Source organism: Homo sapiens, chromosome 14 (genome assembly GCF_000001405.40).
Source record: "Homo sapiens chromosome 14, GRCh38.p14 Primary Assembly".
Classification (NCBI taxonomy): Eukaryota; Metazoa; Chordata; class Mammalia; order Primates; family Hominidae; genus Homo; species Homo sapiens.
The window spans coordinates 100,673,127-100,696,464 of record NC_000014.9 but is presented as its reverse complement, the minus strand read 5'-3'; the positions used below and the strand labels follow the sequence as shown (position 1 = coordinate 100,696,464).

Genomic DNA, 23,338 nt, shown 5'->3' with positions numbered 1-23,338 from the left:
ATATGGACGAGATAGGTCCATAAAAGATGAGACCCTCTCCCTGGCCTGGCTCGTGCTGAATCTGTCAGCAGCCACAGTGCGGTGCTCCGAGACACCTCACCCCGGAGCGCTTAGCCCCATTAGGAAGGGTGAGCAGGTGATCGGTTTTGTCGACAGCATTTAGAACCCTCATCTTTTAGAGAAACCCAGATGAAAACAGGGAGGGGTGCTGAAAGTGGCTGTGCTCTCCAGATGTAAGCGGGGGCGGCTAGCAGGGGCCGGAAGGGCCCCCGGCTTTCTAACTCATGGTCAAATGGCTATTTTTGTTCAGAGAGAGTTGAGGGGAAAAAAATGTCTTAGAACAAACGACAAAATATGGATAAGATGAACAAATTCACTTTTTATCTTAAATGAAGAGTGACTTACAAAGCCGGTTGACTTGGAGGCCACTTTCTCAAGGCCGAATACTCTCATTCAGCAATTTCAGAGGAACCCCTCCTCCCTGACCCACACAGACATTTTTTTTTTAATTTGGTTTAGAGAATATCAGGGGGTGGAAGAGGGGAGGTGTAGACAGGGACACCATTTTGGCCTTAGAGGCTCTTGGCTAGAATAGAAAAATCAAGGCAATCGGAACAATTAAGTCCTTGAAGTTTTTCTGATCACCTTCTGGGCGGATCTGGCCGTCCCAACATGCCGTCGCTGGCGGCGTTCATGTTATTTATCCCCAGTTCATTCTGCACAGGCTTTAGGGGGGCTTAGGAAGTGACACCGGCGCAGACAGATAAATTAGAAGTGGGCGAGAAAGATGAGAGGAAGGAAAACAAAGTCAGAGACAGGAGGGCTCCGGGCGGCAGGAGGTCGGTGCCCCGCCAAGCGAGCGGGAGAGCACTGAGCCTCCCAGACAGAGCAGAGGATACCCAGCCTGTTTTCCTTGCATGAGCTCAGCCTGCAAGCTCCTCATCCCCGGAGGCCCCTCGGGGACCACTCTCTGACCACACCACGCTGCCTCTTGTGGAGCCCCATCTAAGTGTCTTCCTGCTGGCCAGGCGGCTACACCAGGGAGGACAGGAGCTGGGTCTTTGTCACCCCTCATTCCCCAGGGCCTGAGTGTTTGATTAGTACTTGATGAATAAATGAATGAATGAATGAATCAGCAGATGAGCAAATGAATGAACAGAGTCAGCTAAGAGAATTCACTTCTCCCCATCACCAGGCCAAGGAACAAGCTGGGAGAAGAAATCCATCTGTCTCTGCCCTGGCACAGCTGGCCCAGAGCCTGGCTGTGGTCACCCTCCGTCTTGTCAGAGGCATGTGGTGACAGTTTCAGCTTGTCTGTTCACTCGTCAATGCCACAAGCATTTGCAGGTCACCTACTCCCACAGTTTGAATCCCTGCTGTGCTGTGTGTCCTTGGCCAGGCTACTAAACCTCTCTGTGCCTTCATTCCCTTATCTGTAAAATAGGAATAATAGCAGTGCCTTCCTCTGAGGGACCCTGGGAGGGCTTGGGAGTTTACATCCGTGCAAATGTGCTGGATCTACGCCAGACACATAGTAAGCACAGGCTGGAGCTGACCACTGCTAGCGTTTCCACGACCCAGGCCCAACTGGGGGACACAAAGGTGAGTGGACAGGATCCTCCCTGAAGTAGCGCCTACAGCCAGTCCCAAACCAGGCCCAGTCCTTAGCCCCCATGGCAGGCTTATCTCTGCAAGCCCACTCAGATGTCCCTGGCCCCTCCACCAAGGAGCAGCCCTAGTCATGCTCCGTCAAGAAGGCGCGAGTGTAACGCAGCACTGGCCGCAGCCGCTGTTGCTGTGTAGGCATGGTTGCTGCTGCCTTCTGACCGCCGTGTGTTCTGGTCCCGGGGAAGGCCACCTGCCTCCCACCCGTGTGCCTTTGCCCAGGCAGTTCCCCCTGCCTGGGTCTCCCTTTCCTTGGCCATCTTCGCAGCCATCTGCAAAGTGGACCCAAGGAAGCCCGCTTCCCCGCCCCATCCCTCCTTCAGAGCCAGCCGGGCTCGGGCAGCCAGGAGCTCGGGGCTGAGGCAGAGTGTGAGACCCTGAGAGTCGGGTGGGGGGAAGGGGTCTCTGGAGGAGCCTCCAGAAGAGGCAGAGGAGGAGAAGAAAGAGATGGGGAGGAGGGAGAGGAAGGAGAGAAGAGAAGGAGAGGGCTCAGAGGAAGAGGATGAGACAGAAGGAGGGGAGAAGGGGCAGAGGCAGTCGGCTCCGAGGGGTGGGCGGAAGGGCACCTCCCAAGGGCCGCCCCCGCTCTGTGTGCCCTGGGTAAATGTTTGTTAAGTGGATCGAACTGAACTGTATCAATAGAGAACACAGGGCATACAGCCTGGAAGCTTCCGAGAGGCCCGAGGCTGTGCGGCTCATCTTTAAGGGGTTCGTCGCATGCATAAGTGGCACCTCTTTACTCCAGCATGAGGGCTGTCCGCTGCCCTGCCCAGTCTCACCCTCTCTTGGGGGCCTGCTGTGCCCCACAAGCTGCAGGGCCTAGTCCTCGCCTCACCATCCAGTGCTTGGGAGGGGTGGGTACGCAGAAGGGGTGGACGGGGCGTGGAGACTCAGGAGCTGCAGAGAAGGGGGCTGGGGGAGAGGGGAGCAGGGGGTGGCCGGGGAGGCACCAGGAACCCCAGGTTTCCACTTGGGTCGTGGGGTAGGGACCGATGCTGGAGGAGCCAGGTAGGGGTGGTCAAGAGAGTGGGAGATTTTAATTGTGAATTGAGGTTTCCAGAGGGACAGGCGGTTGGAAGAGGAATTATTGAATGGAATATTCCAGAAGGGAAACATAGGGGAGAGGCTGACATGTTGCAGCCATGGAGAGGGAGGGAGGAAGATGTTCCGTCCATGGAGAGGGAAGGAGGAAGGTCTTTTCAGAGATGAAGTGACCTCGAGAGATATCACTGTCCCTGCAGACTCAGGCAGGGGCAGGTGGGGGTTGAGCCTGTATCCACACCGTCCATGACAAGAGCAGAGCCAGGCAGGGGCAGGCTCCAGCTTGTCCACTGGGAGAGGACGCCGCCTCCATGAAAGAGCCGCAGCGGAAGTCTCTGAAGTGGCAGGGAGGGTGGGCAGCCCTCTCAGGGAGAGCTATGTGTCATTCGATCAGTGATTCACTCGTTTACTCATTCAGCACGCACTTCCTGAGTGCTCAGCATGTGCCCAGCAAGGCCCTGGGCACTCGGCAATGACCGCACAGACCTCAGCCACCCCAGCCTCACTTTCTGCCGGTGGAGACAGACCTCAAACAAGGCGAGCGAGCTAGTATTAGAGGAATGTGCTCAGGGGAAGGTGCAGTTTCAGGCCCAGGGAGCAGACCCGAAGAAGAACGCCCAGGCGCCAGCGAGCGCAAGGGCCCTGGGGCAAGAGTGTGGCCGGCGTGTTTGCAGAGTACATGGGAAGTGCGTGTGGCTGTGGTGGAGTGAGAGGTGGCGAGTGGTAGGAAATGAGCTCAGGGAGGCACAGGGACTGGAGGGCGCCAGGGCTTCAGAGGTTTTGGCAGGGACTCATGTTTGGCCGGGTGACCCAGGAGCCCTTGGCGGGCTGTGGACAGAGGAGGGCTTGGTGCAGCTCATGCCTGTGCTGGATTCCTCCAGCCGCTAGGTCGAGATGAATGGGAAGGCACAGCACGCGTGGAAGCACGGGGCCAGGTGGGAGCTGCCCCAGCCATCCACGGAGGCCATTTGGTGTGGCTGGAACCTGCTAGTCTCAGAGGGCAGGTCTCACAGGCCTTCTTCACAGGTTGGCTGTGGGGTGTTGGGGAAGGGGAGGAGTCAAAGAGGACCCCCACTTTGGCTGCAGGAGATGGGGCTGGCTGCAGGACAGCAGCCGCAGGGAGGACTGGGGACTCAGCCTGGGGCAGGGGCATGTTGAGGATGCCCATTAGACATCCCAGTGAAGGTATGGAGAGGATTTTTGGATGGCAGTGTTCGGGGTTCAAGGCAGAGGTCCTGGCTGCCAACATAAATTCAGGACTCATCAGAGCATGAGTGGAATTTACAGCCATGGACAGGATGAGATCACCAAGAGTGATCCCAGATACTTGTCACTGTCTCTTCTCAATTAATGGCAGCTTCTTTGGGGGCAGGACCACTTTTTGCTTTCTCTATGCTCTTGGCCCCAGCCCGGCGCCGGGCAGGGACTGAGGAGGCCCCTGGCCCCAGCTAGCGTGATGAATGACTGGCTCTGGAGACTAGTAGGTCAAAAAGTAATTGGGTCTCAGCTCGCTGCGGAACATCACAGCCAGACACCTCGCCTCGCACCCTCTCGTACCTCCGCTTCCAGGCCATTCACCTCCCCATTGGACCCAAACCACCTTTATCACCAGAACTGACACTAAGGAAGGGAGCCATGTGAGGTGCGTGATTATAGAGTTCAAGGAATTGATTGTTTTTCTGGTGCAGTTGTCTAAGTTAATAAATGTTAAGCAGATCTATTTTTGAAAGGAGGCACTTGACTCCATCCCTATGGTGACAATATTTCCCAAACCCGGGGCCAAAGACACCACCTGACACGCGGGCTGATGGATGGCCGAGGGACGTGGCAGCGTATTTGCAGCCGGGGCTGTCTGGTCTCGCCGCTCATTTATTCCTCCCGCATGCCAGGCAGGATATTAAGAACTCGCAGGCTTCTGTTATCTCCAAGCATGTCCGCACTTGTAATGGGTTGACTTCAGTAAACCTATTTGGGAGGATATTATCTCTGGCTTGTATTACGGTGATGGGAAGGAGCGGGGGCTCTAGGAAACGAATATGCTACTTTGACTAGGTTTTTCAATTTTCTGCCCATCATCTGCTGCCAGAAGGAAACAGCTTCCCATGGAAGGTGAGGTCGCTGCCGAGGAGGTCGGTGCAGCGAGGCGGGTAAGCCCGCCCGGGCTGGGCGCCAGTCCCAGCGCTGCCACTTCATAATCATCACAGTGAGCTCTAATGGAGCACTTAAAAGGTGCCAGGCCTCATGCCAAGCGTCTTCTATGAGCCACCTCATCAAGACCTCCCGAATTCCCTGGGAAACAGGCACCATCGTTATCACAACTTTGCAGGTGAAGCAGCTGGGTCTCAGAGACGCCGAGCCACTTGCCCAGAGAAACACAGCAAGTAAAAAAACAGAGGCATCACAGCAAAACTTTATCCAGCACTCCCTCTGTCCCCAGTGTGTACTAATCCATTCATTCATCACGTCCATCTTTAAAGCGGGCTACTGCGAGCGCTGCAGGGTAAGAACCACGTGATGACCAGCCCGTATGATGATTCCCATGTGCAGGTGAGGAAACTGAGGCACAGGATGTGCAACTAGCTCTCCCAAAGCCATGTAGCCAACAAGCCATCGCACTCAGCAGCCTGAGGGCTCAGGGTGCAGGGAATTCATGCTGTGGCCTCCACCACCTCCATCCCCTCCCTTCCTGAGGTCAGTTGGGCAAAGGCGCAGGGGATGCTGCAGAGGTCACTCTCCCTCAAGGCTTCAACACACCCCCTCACCCTGAGCAGCTGCCCAAGAGGAGACTTGGGGGCAACGCTTTGCTGCAGGAAGGTGGACACTGTTCACCCAGCCCCAGAGTGTCCTCTGTCTGTGCTGCAGATGGACAATACACCTAGAGAGTGTGTCAGATGGTGATAAGGGCTCAGGAGAAAACCAAAGCTAGGGAGGGGAGGGGGCCAGTCCATGCGGTATGGACAATTTAAAGCAGGGACCAGCCAAGTGCGGTGGCTCACACTTGTAATCCCAGCACTTTGGGAGGCCGAGGCAGGAGGATCAGTTGAGCTCAGGAGTTTGAGACCAGCCTGGGAAACATCACAAGAACCTGTCTCTAGAAAAAATTGAAAACTTAGCCAGGCATGGTGGTGCACGTCTCTAGTCCCAGCTACCTGGGAGTCTGAGGTAGGAGGACTGCTTGAGCCCAGGAGGTCAAGGCTGCAGTGAGCCAAGATGGTTCCACTGCACTCCAGCCTGAGCGATAGAGCGAGACCCTGTCTCAAAAAAGAAAGAAAGAAAGTAGGCGGTCAAGGGAGGTCAGGCCCTAGAGGAGATGAATTGTTCAATTCAGGGTCTCGGGAGTTCCCTTTAGGATTCTCCTTCCCTCATCCGCTCTCCCGTCAACACCAGAGCTAGGGTCCATCTCCGAGGTGCATCCTTTGTCCCACACAGCTCAGGCCACCTTTCACTCTCAGCCTCCCACCTGCAGCACCTCCTGGAGGGCTCCCTCCCTTCGTGACGGATGCTCAGACGCGATTTCCCACTTCCCAGCTTGAGACTCTTCCAGAGCAACTCGCCTCCTGTAGGACACAGATAAAAGTCATCCCCTCGGCCGGGCGCGGTGGCTCATGTCTGTAATCCCAGCAATTTGGGAGGCCAAGCTGGGCAGATCACCTGAGGTCGGGAGTTCAAGACCAGCCTAACCAACATGGAGAAACCCCGTCTCTACTAAAAGTATAAAATTAGCCGGGCATGGTGGCGCATGCCTCTAATCGCAGCTACTAAGGAGGCTAAGGCAGGAGAATCAGTTGAACCCCGGAAGGCGGAGGTTGCGGTGAGCCGAGATCGCCCCATTGTGCTCCAGCCTGGGCAACAACAACGAAACTCCATCAAAAAAAAGAAAGAAGGAAAGAAGGAAAGAAGGAAAGAAAGAAAGAAGGAAGGAAGGAAAGAAAGAAAGAAAAAGAAAGAAAGAAAGAAAGAAAGAAAGAAAGAAAGAAAGAAAGAAAGAGAGAGAGAGAGAGAAAGGAAGGAAGGAAGGAAGGAAGGAAGGAAGGAAGGAAGGAAGGAAGGAAGGAAGGAAGGAAAGGGAGGGGATGAAAGGGGAGGGGAGGGGAGGGGAGGGGAGGGGAAGGGAAGGGAAGGAAGGAAAGAAAGAAAAGAAGTCATCTCCTCAAGCTTGAGGCTCTGCTCTAACTCAGGGTGGGGAACTAAGCTGGGAAGGCTGAGGGCAGTGACCAGCCCGGTGGGGTGATCCCACCTTCTGTACCTAGCAGTTGTGTGACCTCAGATGGATGATTTAACCTCTCTGCACTGTTGGGCTACCTGTCTGTAAAAGGGGAAAATAATCCTTCCCCTCATGTACCTCTCTGTGAAGCCCACCACCCCGTGTGGGAGGAGGTCCTCATCCTGGTTCAGCAGGGCTTGGGTCCCCATTCCGCCAAATGTGTGTGTTGTGCCGTGGGTGCGCCCTGCTGTCCGGTGAGGTTCAGTCATTTGCCGAGGGCATGCGACCTGTGAGCACTAAGCAAGCCAAGCCTGGGAGTCTCAGTTTTCCCGCAATCCCCCAACCACTTCCCCAGGTGAGCAAACCAAAGGCGTAAACCGAGGCAGAGCCACCTTCCTGGCAGAAGGAAAGGTCTAGAACAAGGAATAAAATCTCCATCACGCAGTTTTTAAGATTCACTGAACCTTCTTGCAGCAAAAGCAGCTTACTTTCAAATTAGTCAGCCAGAGTGTGAGTCATTCCTTTGCAAACTCTTGTGCAGAGAATGCTAATGTGGGCTGCCCTGTGGATGGGTCCCTGCAGAGGCGCTCACCAGGGACCCTCGCCTAGGGCCAGAAGCACCCCCTCCCTCCAGGGACACTGCCCTCACCCCGCAAACACAGGGGCTCAGGCCTTGGGTCCCCCTCGCCTGCTCTGCCTACCCGCCGTCCAGCCTCTGCCTGCCTCCAGCAACAGGCCAATTAATCCCCCCAACCTGGAGCAGCCGGGGCCACAGCAGCCCACGCTGGCCCACGCTGACAGGAGAGAAGCGACCCAAGCTGAGGCCTTGCTGCAGACGCCCAAGGCCACAGGTCTGCTTTTCACCAGGAAGTGGAGGGCTGGTGAAGGTCGGTGTTACGGTAAGGGGAGTGGACGGGGGCACCCGGGGGGCTGTACCTCCTCCCCCACCCAAGTCCTGCAGAGGCAACTGGAAGCCCATACATGCCCACAGGCACTCATCCACAACCATTTGCTAACCTGCACTGCCCTGACTGAAGCTCCGGCCACACTCCAATTAGACTGGGCTGGGGGTGGGGGGCCAGGAAGGGAGAGTTAGCCCCAAAGTGGAGGAGAAGTTCCGGGAGGGAGGTAGTGAGGGAGGGCTTCCTGGAGGAGAGGAGGAGTAAGCGGAGCTTCAGGAGGAGGGAGGTAGCCAGGAAGCAGAGGGTGAGGTGGGGACGATGGGGCCATCCCAGCACAGGGAACAGGCATGCCAAGGCCGGAGTGAGGGGCCACATGCACGGCTGCCACATGACTGGAGGGAGGCAGGCCTGGTGGAGAGGCTGGAATGGGGGACCAAGGACTGTATCCCGAGGCTGGCAGGCCCCAGCTGTGAGCAGGGCAGTGGCATGGTCAGGGTGGAAGTCCAGACAGCTTGCCTTGGTTCAGAGTGAACGTGAGATGAGGACCGGAGCTTGGTCGCCGAGGGACCTGGGGCACAGTAGGGCCCCTGTGGGTAGGATGTGACCTCAACTGGGATCGTGGCTGAGGGATGGAGAGATGATGACGTTGGCTGAGGGATGGAGAGATGATGACGGTGGCTGAGGGATGGAGAGATGATGACGGTGGCTGAGGGGTGGAGAGATGATGACGGTGGCTGAGGGATGGAGAGATGATGACGGTGGCTGAGGGATGGAGAGATGATGACGGTGGCTGAGGACATGCTGGGGGCCAAGTCGATGGTGCTGTGTGAACCAGAGAAAGAGGGGCACATCTCCAGGGGTCCTGCTGGCCCCAGGCCTGGAGAGGGTCCCATGGAGCCAGGGATGTGGCACCTGGGAAGGTCCCAGAGCTAGCCACAGAGGCAGCCCGGGAGCTGACCATGTCGAGGCCACAGGAAGGCCACTGGAAACACTGTCCACCTGCCTGGCGCTGGCCTGAAAGAGAGAGAGCCACTTCATTCCCTGCATTTGACAACGGACAGATCCTAACTGACCACGGGCCCCCGCCTCGCCCTCCCTGCACGCAATCCTCAAACACGCATCTGCACCTGCCGCCTCCTGGCCTCTCCACCCACCCACTCTGCATGGGCTCCCATCATGGGGGCAACATGAGTCCTCTGAGACCATGCTAGCAGCGAGCCGAGGGCACCACAGGAATCCCAGGCCTGGTCTGGGCCAGTAAGGTTTCTGCCATTGGCACCAAGGCAGGCCTTTACCTGGACTCTCTGAAGATACCGGGAGAGCCCCGTAAAACAGAGATGGTCTCTCCTGCCTCGCTCCCTTGCGTCCTAGGCAGCCTAACCAGGAGCGGCCCACAGAGAGGTCATTTCTCCCCTGTGGCAAATCTGTCTCTCCAGGAATTAAAAACATCCCAAATGTCAGATCCAGCAGGAAGGCCCCAGGATGGAGCATTTGTTTGAGATCCCCTTTGCTCTGGGGCTTCAGAACAATGACCGCTCCTAGGCAACCAGGGAGAGAGGAAGAGGCCTGGGATCCCGGGACCAGGAAGAGGGGCTCCCTCTGGAGGCTCTCCCTCCTCCCCTGTGCAAGGAGTTTGTAGCCCTGGGGAGGGTGGTGGAGAGAGAGTGGGATGGTGGGCGCGGTCAGATGGGAGTGAGCCCTGGGCAGCCCCCAGGCCCCTTCAGCTGAGTGGCTCTTTCCTGCTGGGAGGATTCCCCTCTTCCCCTCCCCCTCCTGCCTCTCCAGCCCCCAACCCACTCCTGGTGAAGCTGCCTGGGACCCTGAAGGGACTGTGGCAGCAGAGGGGGCTGAGGTGGAGGGGGCTGAGGTGGAGAGGCTGAGGTGGAGAGGAGGCTGAGGTGGAGGGGGCTGAGGTGGAGGGGGCTGCGGTGGAGAGGGGGCTGCGGTGGAGAGGGGGCTGTGGTGGAGGGGGCTGAGGTGGAGGGGGCTGAGGTGGAGGGGGCTGAGGTGGAGGGGGGGCTGCGGTGGAGAGGGGGCTGTGGTGGAGAGGGGGCTGAGGTGGAGGAGGCTGAGGTGGAGGGGGCTGAGGTGGAGGGGCTGAGGTGGAGGGGGCTGAGGTGGAGGGGCTGAGGTGGAGGGGGCTGAGGTGGAGGGGGCTGAGGTGGAGAGGGGGCTGAGGTGGAGGGGGCTGAGGTGGAGGGGGCTGTGGTGGAGGGGGCTGAGGTGGAGGGGGCTGAGGTGGAGAGGGGGCTGTGGTGGAGAGGGGGCTGAGGTGGAGGGGGCTGAGGTGGAGGGGCTGAGGTGGAGGGGGCTGAGGTGGAGGGGCTGAGGTGGAGGGGGCTGAGGTGGAGAGGGGGCTGAGGTGGAGGGGGCTGAGGTGGAGAGGGGTCTGTGGTGGAGGGGGCTGAGGTGGAGGGGGCTGCGGTGGAGGGGGCTGCGGTGGAGGGGCTGAGGTGGAGGGGGCTGCGGTGGAGGGGGCTGCGGTGGAGGGGCTGAGGTGGAGGGGGCTGAGGTGGAGAGGGGGCTGAGGTGGAGGGGGCTGAGGTGGAGGGGGCTGCGGTGGAGGGGGCTGAGGTGGAGAGGGGGCTGAGGTGGAGGGGGCTGCGGTGGAGGGGGCTGCGGTGGAGGGGGCTGAGGTGGAGAGGAGGCTGAGGTGGAGGGGGCTGAGGTGGAGGGGGCTGAGGTGGAGGGGGCTGAGGTGGAGGGGGCTGAGGTGGAGGGGGCTGAGGTGGAGAGGGGGCTGAGGTGGAGGGGGCTGCGGTGGAGGGGGCTGCGGTGGAGGGGGCTGAGGTGGAGAGGAGGCTGAGGTGGAGGGGGCTGAGGTGGAGGGGGCTGAGGTGGAGGGGGCTGAGGTGGAGGGGGCTGTGGTGGAGGGGGCTGAGGTGGAGGGGGCTGAGGTGGAGAGGGGGCTGTGGTGGAGAGGGGGCTGAGGTGGAGGGGGCTGCGGTGGAGGGGGCTGCGGTGGAGGGGACTGAGGTGGAGGGGGCTGAGGTGGAGGGGGCTGTGGTGGAGGGGGCTGTGGTGGAGGGGGCTGCGGTGGAGGGGGCTGAGGTGGAGGGGGCTGAGGTGGAGGGGTAGCAGGGTTTGGTTCCCTCGAGGTCCTGGGAGGGCGCAAAAAGTAACAGAGGACACCTGGCCGAGAAGGAAATGTGAGCCAACCCCGCAAGTCTGAGCACAGATTGGGTCCAGCTTTCTTGTTGTTGTTGTTGTTCTATCTTTAAAGAAAGGATGAGAGCCTTAAGCATTAAAGCCCATTCTGATAAAAGTAGGGAAGCACCCGTCTGACCCCACGCCCCACCCAGCCGCCCCCAGTTCTGTTGCGGCAGCCTGAGGCACGGCCGGATTTGATCTCTGCCCGCTCCCCTGTCTTGTTTCATTAGCTGACTCTGTGTTTGAGGGTTTTATTGTTTTTGAGTTTGTTTGTTGTTTTTTTTTCAAACAGGGTCTCTCTCTGCCACACAGGCTGGAGTGCAGTGGTGCAATCATAGCTCACTGAAACCTTGAATTCCTGGGCTCAATTGATCCTCCCACCTCAGCCTCCAGAGTAGCTGGGACTACAGGTCCACCATGCCCAGCTAATTTTTTTTTTTTTTTTTTTTTTTTTTTGCTAGTGATGGTCTCTTACTATGTTGCCCAGACTGACCTTGAGCTCCCAGGCTCAAGCAATCCTGACTCGGCCTCCCAAAGTTCTGGGATTCCAGGTGTGAGCCACCACGCCCAGCCTGTTGGAGGTTTTTTAAGCATGCACAAATACACACACACACAGAGGTCTCACCCCTGAAGCTTCCACTTCCAAGTGATGAAACTGACAGATTTTAGCTACCGTGAGAGTAACCAGGTAAAATTCCCTAGAGGAAACTTCTGGGGACAGGGTCAACATGAGTGGCATTTTCACCAGGGGGCTTCGGCGCCATACTGGTCTGATTTTCCCTTCTCTATGGAGGGGTTCCTGTTGCCCCGTCTCTGGCATCTATTACGGGTTTAGCTGTCCTGGTGTTACCCAGGGCAGAGGCCACCTCCGATTTTCAGGGTCAAACTCACACCGCGTGGAACACCTTCAGGAAAATGATTTTTCCCTTCTTTGGAGGTGGTTTTCTTAGAAGCATATCTCCAGGAGGAGGAGGACTGCTTAACAAGGGGCATCTGGCCTTTGATAACTCTTCCTACGTGCTTGCCTATTCATTTCCAAAGAGGCTATATCATTTTCAAGTCCTCTAATGCATTGGTGACAATTTCATCACAGCACTGGGGTGTCATTACGTGCAAAATGATCTGATATCTCAGTACCGGTACTTCCCCAGAAAACAGAGAGCCGAGGTCTGTTTTGTTTCTTCCCTTCATCTCTGGAACCACCTTTTCACTGTTATTTTTATTCAATTATGCTACATAAACGTGCTTATTTCTATGATTCCTGCCCTAACACATGGCACTTTCATGCGGTTCAACCCAAAACTAAAGATGTAAGTGGCAGGCTACAACAGGCTATTGAGAGAGCAAAGACCAAATGGCCATTTCTCCTTCCCTCTGGCAGGAAATCCTGAGATGACTTTTCAACATGACATTCAATTTTAGGAAATTAATTCCATCCTCTGACCTGCTTGTTCTTCTAAGGCCGGCGTCAGCCAAACAGCAAGACAGTCAGGTCTCTGAAGCGTCTGATATTGCAGGGGCCAAAGGGGCTGCACGACTCTGGTGCATCCCATAATTGTCTGCTTTTGTCCTGCTGGGCGGACGTCAGGGAGCCTTACCTGGCTTTCTAACTTGGAGCATGTCCCCAGAACCTTTATCTTCTGCAGCCTCTTCCCTAGCTCAGACATGGCCGGCCCCTTCCCTGGAGCTCTGGGCTGGAGGCCAGGAGCCCTGGGCTTTCTTCCTTTAAGAGAGGGCTCTGACCAACAAGCGTGAGGGTGAGGAAGGAAGGAAGAGAAGAAGAGTGACATGCAGACTTCTGATGAGATCTTTCGTAATAGCTTGACAGCAAAGGACGGTTATTGTGAACCATACTGATTTAATGAACTCTTAATGAAATACAAATCTTGATTTTATTTTTTTCTTGAGATGGAGTTTCACTCTTGTTGCCCAGGTTGGAGTGCAATGGCACGATCTTGGCTCACTGCAACCTCCACCTCCCGGGTTCAAGCGATTCTTCTGCCTCAGCCTCCTGAGTAGCTGGGATTACAGGCATGTACCACCACGCCCGGCTAATTTTGTATTTTTAGCAGGGGTGGGGTTTCACCATGTTGGTCAGGCTGGTCTCGAACTCCCGACCTCAGGTGATCCGCCCGCCTCGGCCTCCCAAAGTGCTGGGATTACAGGCGTGAACCACCGCACCCAGCCTAAATCTTGATTTTTTAATTGTAGTAAAAGAATCTTTACCATCTTCACCATTTTTAAGTGTACATTTCAGTGGTATTAAGTACATTTCCACTGGTGTGCAATCATCACCACTGTCTGTCTCCAGAACAACTTTCGTCCTGCAAAACTGAAACCCCAAAAGATTAAACACTAACTCCCTATTCCCTGTCCCCCAGCCCTGGCAGCCTCCATCCTACTTTCTGTCTCTATGATTTTGACTCCTTCACATAAAGGGAATCATATTTAACTTTTTGTGACAGGCTTATTTCACCCAACATAATGTCCTCAAGTTCACCCATGTTGTAGCCTGGGCCAGCATTTCCTTCCTTTTCAGGGCTGAATAGTATTCCATCGTGTGGACTGACCACATTTTGTTTCTCCATCCACCCTTCAGTGGCCACTCAGCTGTGTCCACCTTCTGGCTACTGTGTGTGATGCTGCTATGATCATGTGTGCACAGATAGGAAGCATATCTTCAGAGTGTGTGTGGAGTTGGGAGGGTCCAGCTTCTCTTCAACCCTTGGGAGAGGCTTCCAGAGGAGAAACGGAGCTGCCATGGGCAATGTGGGCAGAGTTAGGAGGAGGTGGGCTCTGGCTCTCCCTGTTCCTTCCCTCTGGTCCTGGAAGCCTCTCTTTGAGGCCAGCTGAAGGAAGACCCTTGCAAAGGGAGAGACTGGCCTCTGTGTCCAGTTGGAAGACCCTGGCAGCGTCAACATGCTCCAGGTCCATATGGCCCCTCCTTCCCATAGTCAGGCAGCAGAAGACCCTTTCATCAGGATTCAGGGGGCGCGGGCCTCCAGGCTCACTTTCACGTAGCCACAGCCCCACTTACAGATGGAAAACCAAAGCCGTGGTCCTACTGGAGGCTGGCCCGCCCCTGCCAGCCCCTCTGTGGTTCCCAGCCCCTCCAGCACGTTGAGCAGAGACAGCTGCCAAGAGACTTGGGTAACAGATGATTCCTCAGACCTGGGCACTTTTCATGTGATTGAATGCACACTTACAGAAGGGCCAGCTCTGAGTCTGCCAAGGGGCAGGCCCATACTTCAACTCCCCAAGGCTCGTCCAGACTGAGTGCTAAGTCTCCATCAGAAGCTATGAGACTCTGGCCACCTACTTCGGGGACAGAAAAACCTGCCTGTGGGGACCTTTGGCGTCCAGTCCTCTCCACAACCCGGAGCACACGGCACGTTCCCATTGGCGCTTTCACAGTGCAGATGAGCAAGCCGAGGCCCAGACAGCTTGCACCATGATGAGCAGGGTATGGGGAATGAACTCAGCTCCGGGGGGCAGCAGCGTCCCCTCCACAACCACAGCTGCCTCCCCAGGAGTCCATCAAAGTCCTGCAGAGCCCCCGGAGCCCCCCACAGACAATCCCTGGCAGGGGACGGAGTGAACCTTCTCTCCTTGGAGTGCCCCTGTGAGCATCAGGGTTACGGGGCAGGAGGCAGATCCCCGCCCACCCTCCCCTCAGCTCAGCCTGTCCTCCCCATCTTCTCATAGCTGCTCACACCCAGTGCCACTGCCCCCCGCCAGCTTCTACCCCCACTCCCAAGGATGCCAAGGACCCAGGTTACCAGGCCGATGACACCCCTCCCGGCTCCTGTCGTGGCCACCCCAGGCAGCCGACTGGTCCCTCCTGCTGAAACACCTCTTCCTGTGGCTTTGGGACCCGAGTCCCCCTCCTCTTTGAAGACCCCTTCCCAGACTTTCTCCAAAGGCCTGGCTCTTGCCCTTGCCTCCTAAAGCTGCCACTCTGAGGGCCAGTCCTGGCTCCATGCCCTCCCCTCCTGCCATGCTACTGGTGGCCTCATCCTCCTACCACTGAAGACCCCATGTGCCCAAGGCTCTTACGTGCCCAAATCCCAGCTCATACCCAGAGGCCCACCCCAGAATCACAAACCCAACGTCCCTCTCTCCTGAAAGCATCAGCCTCCACGTGTGTGTCCCCCATCTCCCACCTTCTTGAAAATTCTGCCACAACCCACGCACTCCTTCAGCCCACTGCCCCACCCATGCCCCCTCGCTTCTGCTCCAGGCACTCTCCACATCAGCCCCTCCGGTCCCCAGCGGGCTGCTCAGGGACGTGTTTGCATCATGGACCCTTCTGCCTGGAGCCTGCTGTTTCCTGCAGCCGGGGTGCCCCCTTGCTACCCTGGCCCACGTTCGGACGAGAAGCCAGATGCGGACTCCGTGTTGCTCCCTCTCAGGTCCCAGTCAGAGCCTGTGATATCACTGTCCAATCACATGCCGTGTCCCCCGGGGGCCCTCTGGGATACAGAAGTGTCAGTTATCTCTGTGTCCCTAATGGTGGGACAGGAAGGGCATTCAGGCCCACGCAAAGGCCTGCGCTCAGCAGCAGGAGTGCAGAGACAGCTCACTGGCAGCAGGAGGGCGTGGGGCTGCTGGGGCACGGTAGCTGGGGCTGAGGGCCTCTTCCGGTCCCTCGAGGGAGGAGCATAGTCTTTATCCAGGGGGCCACAGGGGCATGGTCACGTCTGAAGCCTTAGGAAAGGTCTGAGTAGAGGCAGGAAGTGGCCTCTGGCCGAGATCGCCTTTGCCTGGCCTCAAGGCCATCCGCTTTCCCACAAGACTCTTGGCCATGGTTGTTCAGGCCACTGTGAGCTTTTTTATGAGGCTGGAGGTTTGTAAAACTTATTAGTTGGTGGAAACTTGCGGGCTGCCGGCCAGCCCTCTGTGGTGGTGGCAGAACCCTGCCCGCAGGACACCCACGTGGCCTGTGACAATGGGGGGAGGCGGAGGGAAGGGGACCCCAGTTCAGGGGTGGTCATCCTCGGCTTCCCACAGCCAGGCGTTCTCAGCCGGTACTGGAGGGAGGGGCTGTCGCCTCGCACCCACCGGTCCTCAGGACACTCGAACCAGGGTTGTGACCACTTGGGAGCCTCTGGGTTGGAGATCAGGCTGGTGGCAGTGCAGGAAGGGAGGACCATCCCCAAACAGCGTGGCCTTTACCACAAAGGAGCCACCCTGGGTTGTCTCCTGGACACGGGTTCAAATCCCTGGTCTGCAGCCACCTAGCCATGTGGCTTGGGACAACAGCAGTAGAATTCCTGGTAAACACCCACTGGTCCCAGGCTCTGAGCTGAGCTCTCACATGAACCAAGTCAGTTGTCAACAGCCTGGAAGGGGACCACCATTATCATCTCCTCTCTAAGTCACATTCTCCTCTGCAAGAGAAGAAGAGTGTGGCGCCCACTTTCTCATGTCACAAGAGAGACACTCGTCAGCACCTGGTGCACATTAGCCGCCTGTGGACACAAGCTCTTTCCTTTCCCACCACAAGGCCCTCCTGGAGCTGGCCGCCTCCTCTGCCTTGCTGGGGAGTTCCCTCAGCAGGAAGGAATGTGCAGGCCCAGCGATCTCTGGAAACACCCGGAGTCTGCAGAACGTGCTGGACGCGGTCAGCTGTGTGAGACCTTGGCCCCCAGGCCTCTGGATGCACTGGATTCCCTGGAACAGTTAGCAGGACACAGGGCAAAGGCCTTTCTCCTTCTGTCGGTAATCAAGACCATCTGAGGACCCACGGGGCGCTCACGTTCTACCTTCCCTGGCTTGGCTGAGGGTTGAGAGGGCCTCGGGAAGGGTGGAGGGAGGAGGGAGAATGGACATAGGCCCATCTTTCGGCCTAGATGGAGGAACCGTGTGCTGGCTGGGCAGGCTGCTGGCAGAGGTCAGGAGGGCTCTTCCCTGAGCCCTGCCATCCATGAACTGTGTAACTTTGATCCAGGCCTTGTCCCTCTGGGCCTCAGTTTCCCCAAGCTGGATGTGTCGTCCCCCTGCTTCATTCACAATTACCACCAGAAGGACCAACACCACCCTGCAAGACTCAATGGGGTGATGGATCAATCAGAAAAAAAAACAACAAAAAAAAACACAGATCGCCTAGGGCTTAATTAACAGGAGCATGGTATTCATAGCTGGGGAGGTGAGAGTCGGCTGCAGACTGTACCTAGGCACTAACACTCAGTTCTGGGAGAAAATGACAACTGATGCCTGTTCAGGAGAGGGCACTGCGGTGGGTCTTGCAAGGAACAGATAGGAGAAGCCCTGAGACTTGGTTTGGAGGAAAGAGGCCCAGAAGGTCATGACTGCCACCTCCAGATGCGCTGTGGCCCCGGAGCAGTACTAGAAAGCCCTTTCCTAGCTATGAGACCTCCTCCACAAAGGAATGCACGTTCAATGAGGTAGTGAGCTCTCTAGTCCCGGAGGTAAGCAAGTCTCTGGGTGGCATCTGGGACCTTGTGGATGCCCCAGCAGCCTGGCTGGGCTTACCCTGAGGGGCTAAAGGGAGTGGTTGGGCCCTTCGGCCCCGTGGTTCATGAAGCCTGTAGTGTTCCTCTTGGGGAAGGGGCCACTGATGTTTCCCAGCCATGGAAGTGCCTGGTAGACCTCACAGATGCTTTGATGGTCCAAACAGGTGCCTCTGAATGCCACATCTTTGGGCTCCAGGCTGAGAATGCAGGGGAGGGGACTTCTTGCCCCCTGTCCAGGCCTCAGATCCCTCCTGGCTTTCCTGCTCCAGCCCAGCAGCTCACCAGACCCAGCGTCACCAACATAGCGTGGCTCTTAAGACCTTGCCGGCCACCTCCCCACAGCATTCCTGCCTCCACCCTCCTCCAGATGCTGTGCTTTGCTGGCACAGGGCCCACTGTCCATGCTCCCTCTACCCACCCCCCTTCCCGAGGAGCCCGAGCTCTCCCAGCACCCTTCAAGCCACCCCTGGGTCCCTCGGCATGAGCCTTGCCCAGCCGCTGTTTCCTGGCCTGGGGGTATGGGTTTGCCCAGCTGTGGCTGCCACCTCCAGGACCCCATGGATGGGCAGGAGGATCCATCCACCCAGAAGGCTGCATCTCCCTCCTCAGGGCCACACAAGGAAGTTAGGGCGGAGCAGACCGGGGCCTCTCTGGCTGGGGCCCTGGGCCCCCAGCTCAGCGTCCCCTGCTCCCCTGGCCCCCACCCCTGCCCAGCTGCCGGGGGCCTAATCCAGGCCTGTGGGAAGAGGCCCTGGGTGGAGGCGGACGTGATAAGGAAGCCGCTGGGATGCCTGGATGCTGCAGATGTGGCTCTGGGCTCCTGCCTCAGGCGGATTTGACGAACTTGCTAAACTGCAATTCTCCATGGCTTAGGGGAGCTGGGCCCGGGCCAGCGCATGCATTATCCTCAGCAGCTGCGGGCTGTGGCGAGCCAAGGGGCGGAGGCCTGGCCAGGCAGAGGCTCCGAGGCCAGCCAGGCCTCCTAACCCTCCACCCTGGGACCCAGCGAGTTTGCGGGGGGCCATTCCCAGAGGTGCCGAAAGGGGCTCACAGATGCCAGTACCATGAAGGCCCAACTAACAAAGGATTTCCAACCAGAAAATATATTTCCCAGGATTCTGTAGACCAGAGTGGGGTGAAAGACAGCTTTGTGCTAGAGGCATGCGGCCAATGAGTGGGTACTGGAAGTTGGACCCCGCTGTCTCCACTGGGGGCTGCACCCGCCGTGCTCTGGGCTGGGCCGCTTACAGGCACTTCCTCCAGGCTAGGCATGACCTTGACATTGCCTGGAGTTTCCGGTTCTGGGGGAAGGAAGGGGCCTCTCAAACGGCCAGGCCAGGCAGAAGCACAGGCTTGGGCTTCTGTGTCAGGGAGGTGGGAGCTGTGCTGCTGCGCTCCCCGGGGCACCCAGCACCAGCAGCATGCCCGGTGGAAGGAGTATGGGCTTCACAACTTCCAAGCCCTCCGGGGCAGGTTCCAGGTGGACACCACAGCTGTCAGCCTGGGTTGCCCCCTGGCGTGAGGCTCACAGGTTCTGTGGATGTCATCAGACTGGCAGAGTTAGTGCTCCTCAAGAAATGGAGGCTGTCACCTCACCCAGTGGGGCGGCAAGAGCTCCAGGAAGCCACCATGTGGATAAGGGTGGGCGCAGAGCAGGCTTGAGGAGGGAGGCTGGGCTGGGTCTTCACCCTAGCGTCTGTTTTGACACTGGAGCCTCGAGCGGAATTCTGTACTCTAGACAATAAATTTCCACACACATAAGCAGAGAGCAGCGTTTCTGCTTCCAGCTGCCTCGTCTCCTAGAATAGCTCTTTTTTTTTTTTTTAAGAGGGAGTTTCACTCTTGTTGCCCAGGCTGAAGTGCAGTGGCGCGATCTTGGCTTACCTCAACCTCCACCTCCTGGGTTCAAGCGATTCTCCTGCCTCAGCCTCCCGAGTAGCTGGGATTACAGGCACCTGCCCCCATGCCCAGCTACTTTTGTATTTTTAGTAGAGACAGGGTTTCTCCATGTTAGTCAGGCTGGTCTCCGACTCCCGACCTCAGGTGATCCACCCGCCTCAGCCTCCCAAAGTGCTGGGATTACAGGCATGAGCCACCGCACCCAGCCAAATAGCTGTCTTTTAATTACACAGAAAGATCACCAGGAAAAAAGGGAAGAAAACAAGCCAGAGTCACTAGAAACTCATCTCCATGCCTAGAACCTCACAACAAAGTAGCTGAGAGGCCAGGCAGGTCCAGGCGGGCGCTCCAGCCAGGCAGGAGCTTGAGGGGCGGGGTGTGGGGGCCACAGTCACGGTACCTCCACCCGCAGGGTGGGTTGATAGATTGTGGGGACTGTGAGCACCTTCCTTCCATATGGCTGAGCACCCATATGGGACTTGGCACTGGGAACAGCAAGCCAGCAGCTCCAGCACCCTGTAAAGTCCAGGGGAGGGGGGCACATTTGAACCCATTAATCACACAAATTTTGCATCGCAGTGTGAGATGCAGGTGAGTGCTGCAGGCCTGGAGTAGGGGAGTGTCTCCGTCAGAGAAACCATGGAAGGCTTCCCAGAGGAAGCAGCGCTGGAGCTTTGAGGAAAAGTGGGGAGTAACCAGGGAGCCTCTTCAGAGTCCAAGTCACTCTTCAGAATGACCCGGGCGCAAAAGACTACACCCAAAGAAAAGCTGGCTGCGTTCCCAGCCAGCTGAACTGCGGGCCGCCTGCCTCCTCATCTGCGTTCCTGCCTCCCCACCTTTGTTTAGGCCATTCCCCCACCCAGAATGCCTTTCCAGGACAGAGCTTCTCCAACCTTAGTTCTGACTTTCTAAGTCACAGAGAACCACAGAGAGGCCTCCTCCAGGGACACCACCTGAGCCTCAGCACTTTGTAGCTGCCTCTTCATCTCAGGCCAGTGTGAGCCGGGGTGAGGGCTCCAGCCCCCTTGGAGCGCCCGGCATCAACCCCGTGTGCCGGGCAAGCTCCAGAAGTGTGTTGGAAGGCAGGGTCGATATTGCCGGCTTTGGGGGGATGAGTCGATAACGATTGAAAGTGAGCAAAATATTCTCCTTTCTCTCCCTGTAAGGGGAATTTGAAAATCGGATTTACTGGTTAAATTAACAGAATGTGCATTCTCAGTTCAGCCCCACCCCTGGGACTAGTCACTTACTTAAAAATACATATTAAAAATACAGTGAATCATCTCCACTATGTAAAAACAACAAAACGTGCATGCACCTAGCCATGGGGCAAAACCCATAACAAAAACCCCCACCCTGGTCATTGGCCTGTGGCAGGGCCTTATGGGGTCTCAATTTCCTTCTTTGTGTTCATGTATTTCCCACCTATTTCACAGTGAACTGATTCCTTTTAAGGTAAAGAGAAAAGATAACATTTTAAAATAAAAGAATAAGGTATCAATATCATTAATTGCAGTTTTAATGGTAAGAAGTGCCCCCAGCTCATTTCTCCATCCCCACTTTGAAAGTGACAGGGTCTCAGGCAGCCCTGTTTCCAGGCAGACGTTTCTGCACATGGACGCACACACGCAGGCAGGACGTTTGGTCTCCTGCTCTGTTCACTTAACATTAAAGATAAGCATCTCTCCCCAACAAGACTTCATAATTACGGTGGTTAGGGGCTGCAGCATCTTCCTCCCAGCAGCCCGGATTCTCGCTTTAAATTTGGTGGGGAGAGTGGCCGCCTGCAGAGCTATTAGCGGGGAGTGATTGATGGTTCAGTTGGAGCAAGGCTAGCTCAGCTGCACACCCCCGGGAGAGCGTGTTGGCCTTATTAATCCTGTGTACCTGTCTGGCCTGGGAAACGACTGTGTCGTGTGCCCCCAGAAAAAGTCCTGAGCTGGCCTTCTGGCTGCCCGTGCAGCCCCCCAAACCCAGTGGGGAGCATCTCAGAGCCCAGCCAGGGTCCCAGCCGGAGGACCACAGGTTGCTTGCTGTCACACTCATTTTGCTCCCTGGCGTTCAAAGTCCTTTGCACATCTCAAGCTGGGTCCCTTGTTTCCGCAGCGGGCACTGTGGAGTGTCCTCACTGCATCCCCTCATGTCAGGACCCTCCAGAAGTCCCTGTACACACACAGCCGTAGTCAGTATCTGTCTGCTTAACCTCTCATCCATCCCTCCACCCCTTCCCCTACTAACCAAATGGCAGGCTGTGCCTTATGCAAGAGCCCTCCAGGCCCCAGACCAGACCTCCCCAAAGGGGAGAATTCAGGAGGAAAATGGGCAGGCAGGCAAGAGTTTCCTCTTCTTTCCCCTAAATCTTACTCCTCCTCCAGTTTTTTTTCCCATCTCAGAAAATGGCACCAGCACTCATGCAGTGGCCCCGCTGGGTCACCCTCCTGTAACAGCCCCCGGGCCAGCCACGGTCAGGCCAGCATGAGGCTGCAGTACCACCACTTCTCAGCAGTTCCTAATCCCCCACTCCTTCTCCACTGGGACGGGACCAGCAGCCTCCCAGCTCCCCTGCCTGCCTATGGCAACTTGGCTCTAATCCCCTCCTGTCTGCACTACTCAGAAGCACAGTAAAATGCCAATCTGAACACACTTAAAAATAAATAACACTGCCCTTAGGAAAAACTCCAAGCCCCTTACGACATCTGCATGCCCACCCTCTGGCCCCTTTCCCCCTCAGTCTCCATTGCAGAGATGGACTCCCTTGCGCCTCCTGCTCGGAAGGAAGGAAAATGAGTAGAAATAAACGCGGGGCTGGAGATGGCTTGACTGGCTCGTAAGAACCCGTTGTTAAATTTTCAAGAGATCTTGTGAGCTGTTTTTTAAACATTTGGCAGCTTGAACCAGCCATGGTGGGAGTATTTACACCAGGGAAATTGGCAACACCACAAACCAGGGCTTTAGTTCAGCACCAACTCAACTCCCAGTTCTTCCCTCACTAGCCCCAAATTCAGCGAGGAATTGTGGACTCACAGAATTGGAAAGGGTCTTGAATCAGCCCTTCTCATGAGAATCCCATTTCACTCATTCATGCACACCATTCAGTCATTCAACAAACACCATCTGACCATCTCCCCAAGTCGGGCTCTGTGCCAGACCCTGGGCTGGCCTCAAGAGCTCACACTCCAAAGCACATGCTACTTATGTATATGACAATGTGGTAAAGTGCCTTCACCAAGGGATGGCCAAGGTTGGGGTGGAGGCCTGGAGGAGGTTGTTTCCTGAGGACATAAAGGAGATCCCGCACTGTTTTTAACATGACTCAAGTGATTTAAACTTTCAGAATTTGTTCAGATTGCTTCTGTGGGCCAGCACATGAGCTTATAAATTATGAATGGTATTGGAGGCAAGTTACAGCAAACTCAATCTGTGTCGGCTTAAACACACAAGGCTTTTTTTTTTTTCTCACTTAGAGAGAAACCTGGAGGTGGACAGTTGCTGGTGTTGGTTCCACAGCTTCACGAAGCCCTGGGGACCCTGGGCTCGCTCTTCTGCCTCCCATCTCTCGCTGCCTGCCGGTGTCGGTCACAGGATGTTAGTGGGCTCCCACCCCTGTATCTGCGGGTCGAGGGCGGGTCGAGAGCAGTCAGGGCAGCAGGAGCCCTCTGTCTCCTGTTACCAGGGGCTTTGGCTGGCGCTTTCACTGTCTGCTGGGTGCCCCTGGAGAGAAGCTGAGCTGCTTCCTCCTCTGAGTCCCTGAGCCCAACCCCCAACCCCCGGCCAGGTACAGAGCAGCATGTTTGCCTGAGCTAAGCAAACAACGCGACGCTATTGTCAGAGGGCTGGCAGGGCAGCCGGCTCGTGGCCGCGTCTCTGCCTGAGGAGTGAGATAATGCTGCCGTCCTCATCTGTAATCAGCTACCTAATGAGCTACATCGTCAGGCTGTCCAAGCTGCTACCTAGCAGCTGGCTGGGAGCCTGCGGAAGCCCCATTAACCTTTTCAGTTCCT

At 56.7% G+C, this 23,338-nt stretch overlaps 2 long non-coding RNA genes across 2 annotated transcripts, besides 8 other annotated features; both read right to left on the bottom strand.

Annotated features, from left to right (window-relative positions):
• Positions 1,336-2,276: an enhancer, noted in NCBI's record as "H3K4me1 hESC enhancer chr14:101160526-101161466 (GRCh37/hg19 assembly coordinates)". NCBI's record gives its function as "activates a minimal SCP1, AML or CMV promoter by ChIP-STARR-seq in naive H9 embryonic stem cells {active_cell/tissue: H9 hESC(naive)}" and the evidence as "EXISTENCE:reporter gene assay evidence [ECO:0000049][PMID:30033119]".
• Positions 2,751-3,950: an enhancer, noted in NCBI's record as "P300/CBP strongly-dependent group 1 enhancer chr14:101158852-101160051 (GRCh37/hg19 assembly coordinates)". NCBI's record gives its function as "activates an origin of replication core promoter dependent on BRD2, BRD4, P300/CBP, MED14 and CDK7 cofactors, with strong dependence on P300/CBP, by STARR-seq in HCT116 cells {active_cell/tissue: HCT116}" and the evidence as "EXISTENCE:reporter gene assay evidence [ECO:0000049][PMID:35650434]".
• Positions 2,751-4,208: a biological region, named in NCBI's record as "P300/CBP strongly-dependent group 1 enhancer GRCh37_chr14:101158852-101160051".
• Positions 3,440-4,208: an enhancer, noted in NCBI's record as "H3K27ac-H3K4me1 hESC enhancer chr14:101158594-101159362 (GRCh37/hg19 assembly coordinates)". NCBI's record gives its function as "activates a minimal SCP1, AML or CMV promoter by ChIP-STARR-seq in naive H9 embryonic stem cells {active_cell/tissue: H9 hESC(naive)}" and the evidence as "EXISTENCE:reporter gene assay evidence [ECO:0000049][PMID:30033119]".
• Positions 4,585-7,134, bottom strand: LOC124903385 (uncharacterized). Its single transcript, XR_007064339.1, has 3 exons — positions 7,049-7,134; positions 6,167-6,263; positions 4,585-4,671 (listed from the first exon to the last, which is right to left on the bottom strand). It is a non-coding gene; the product is annotated as an uncharacterized LOC124903385 (long non-coding RNA).
• Positions 6,712-7,527: an enhancer, noted in NCBI's record as "H3K4me1 hESC enhancer chr14:101155275-101156090 (GRCh37/hg19 assembly coordinates)". NCBI's record gives its function as "activates a minimal SCP1, AML or CMV promoter by ChIP-STARR-seq in naive H9 embryonic stem cells {active_cell/tissue: H9 hESC(naive)}" and the evidence as "EXISTENCE:reporter gene assay evidence [ECO:0000049][PMID:30033119]".
• On the bottom strand, positions 8,549-9,531 carry LOC105370668 (uncharacterized). The gene is made up of 3 exons (XR_001750887.2): positions 9,108-9,531; positions 8,725-8,826; positions 8,549-8,634 (listed from the first exon to the last, which is right to left on the bottom strand). It is a non-coding gene; the product is annotated as an uncharacterized LOC105370668 (long non-coding RNA).
• Positions 15,348-15,941: an enhancer, noted in NCBI's record as "H3K4me1 hESC enhancer chr14:101146861-101147454 (GRCh37/hg19 assembly coordinates)". NCBI's record gives its function as "activates a minimal SCP1, AML or CMV promoter by ChIP-STARR-seq in primed H9 embryonic stem cells {active_cell/tissue: H9 hESC(primed)}" and the evidence as "EXISTENCE:reporter gene assay evidence [ECO:0000049][PMID:30033119]".
• Positions 16,536-17,129: an enhancer, noted in NCBI's record as "H3K4me1 hESC enhancer chr14:101145673-101146266 (GRCh37/hg19 assembly coordinates)". NCBI's record gives its function as "activates a minimal SCP1, AML or CMV promoter by ChIP-STARR-seq in naive H9 embryonic stem cells {active_cell/tissue: H9 hESC(naive)}" and the evidence as "EXISTENCE:reporter gene assay evidence [ECO:0000049][PMID:30033119]".
• Positions 22,562-23,309: an enhancer, noted in NCBI's record as "H3K4me1 hESC enhancer chr14:101139493-101140240 (GRCh37/hg19 assembly coordinates)". NCBI's record gives its function as "activates a minimal SCP1, AML or CMV promoter by ChIP-STARR-seq in primed H9 embryonic stem cells {active_cell/tissue: H9 hESC(primed)}" and the evidence as "EXISTENCE:reporter gene assay evidence [ECO:0000049][PMID:30033119]".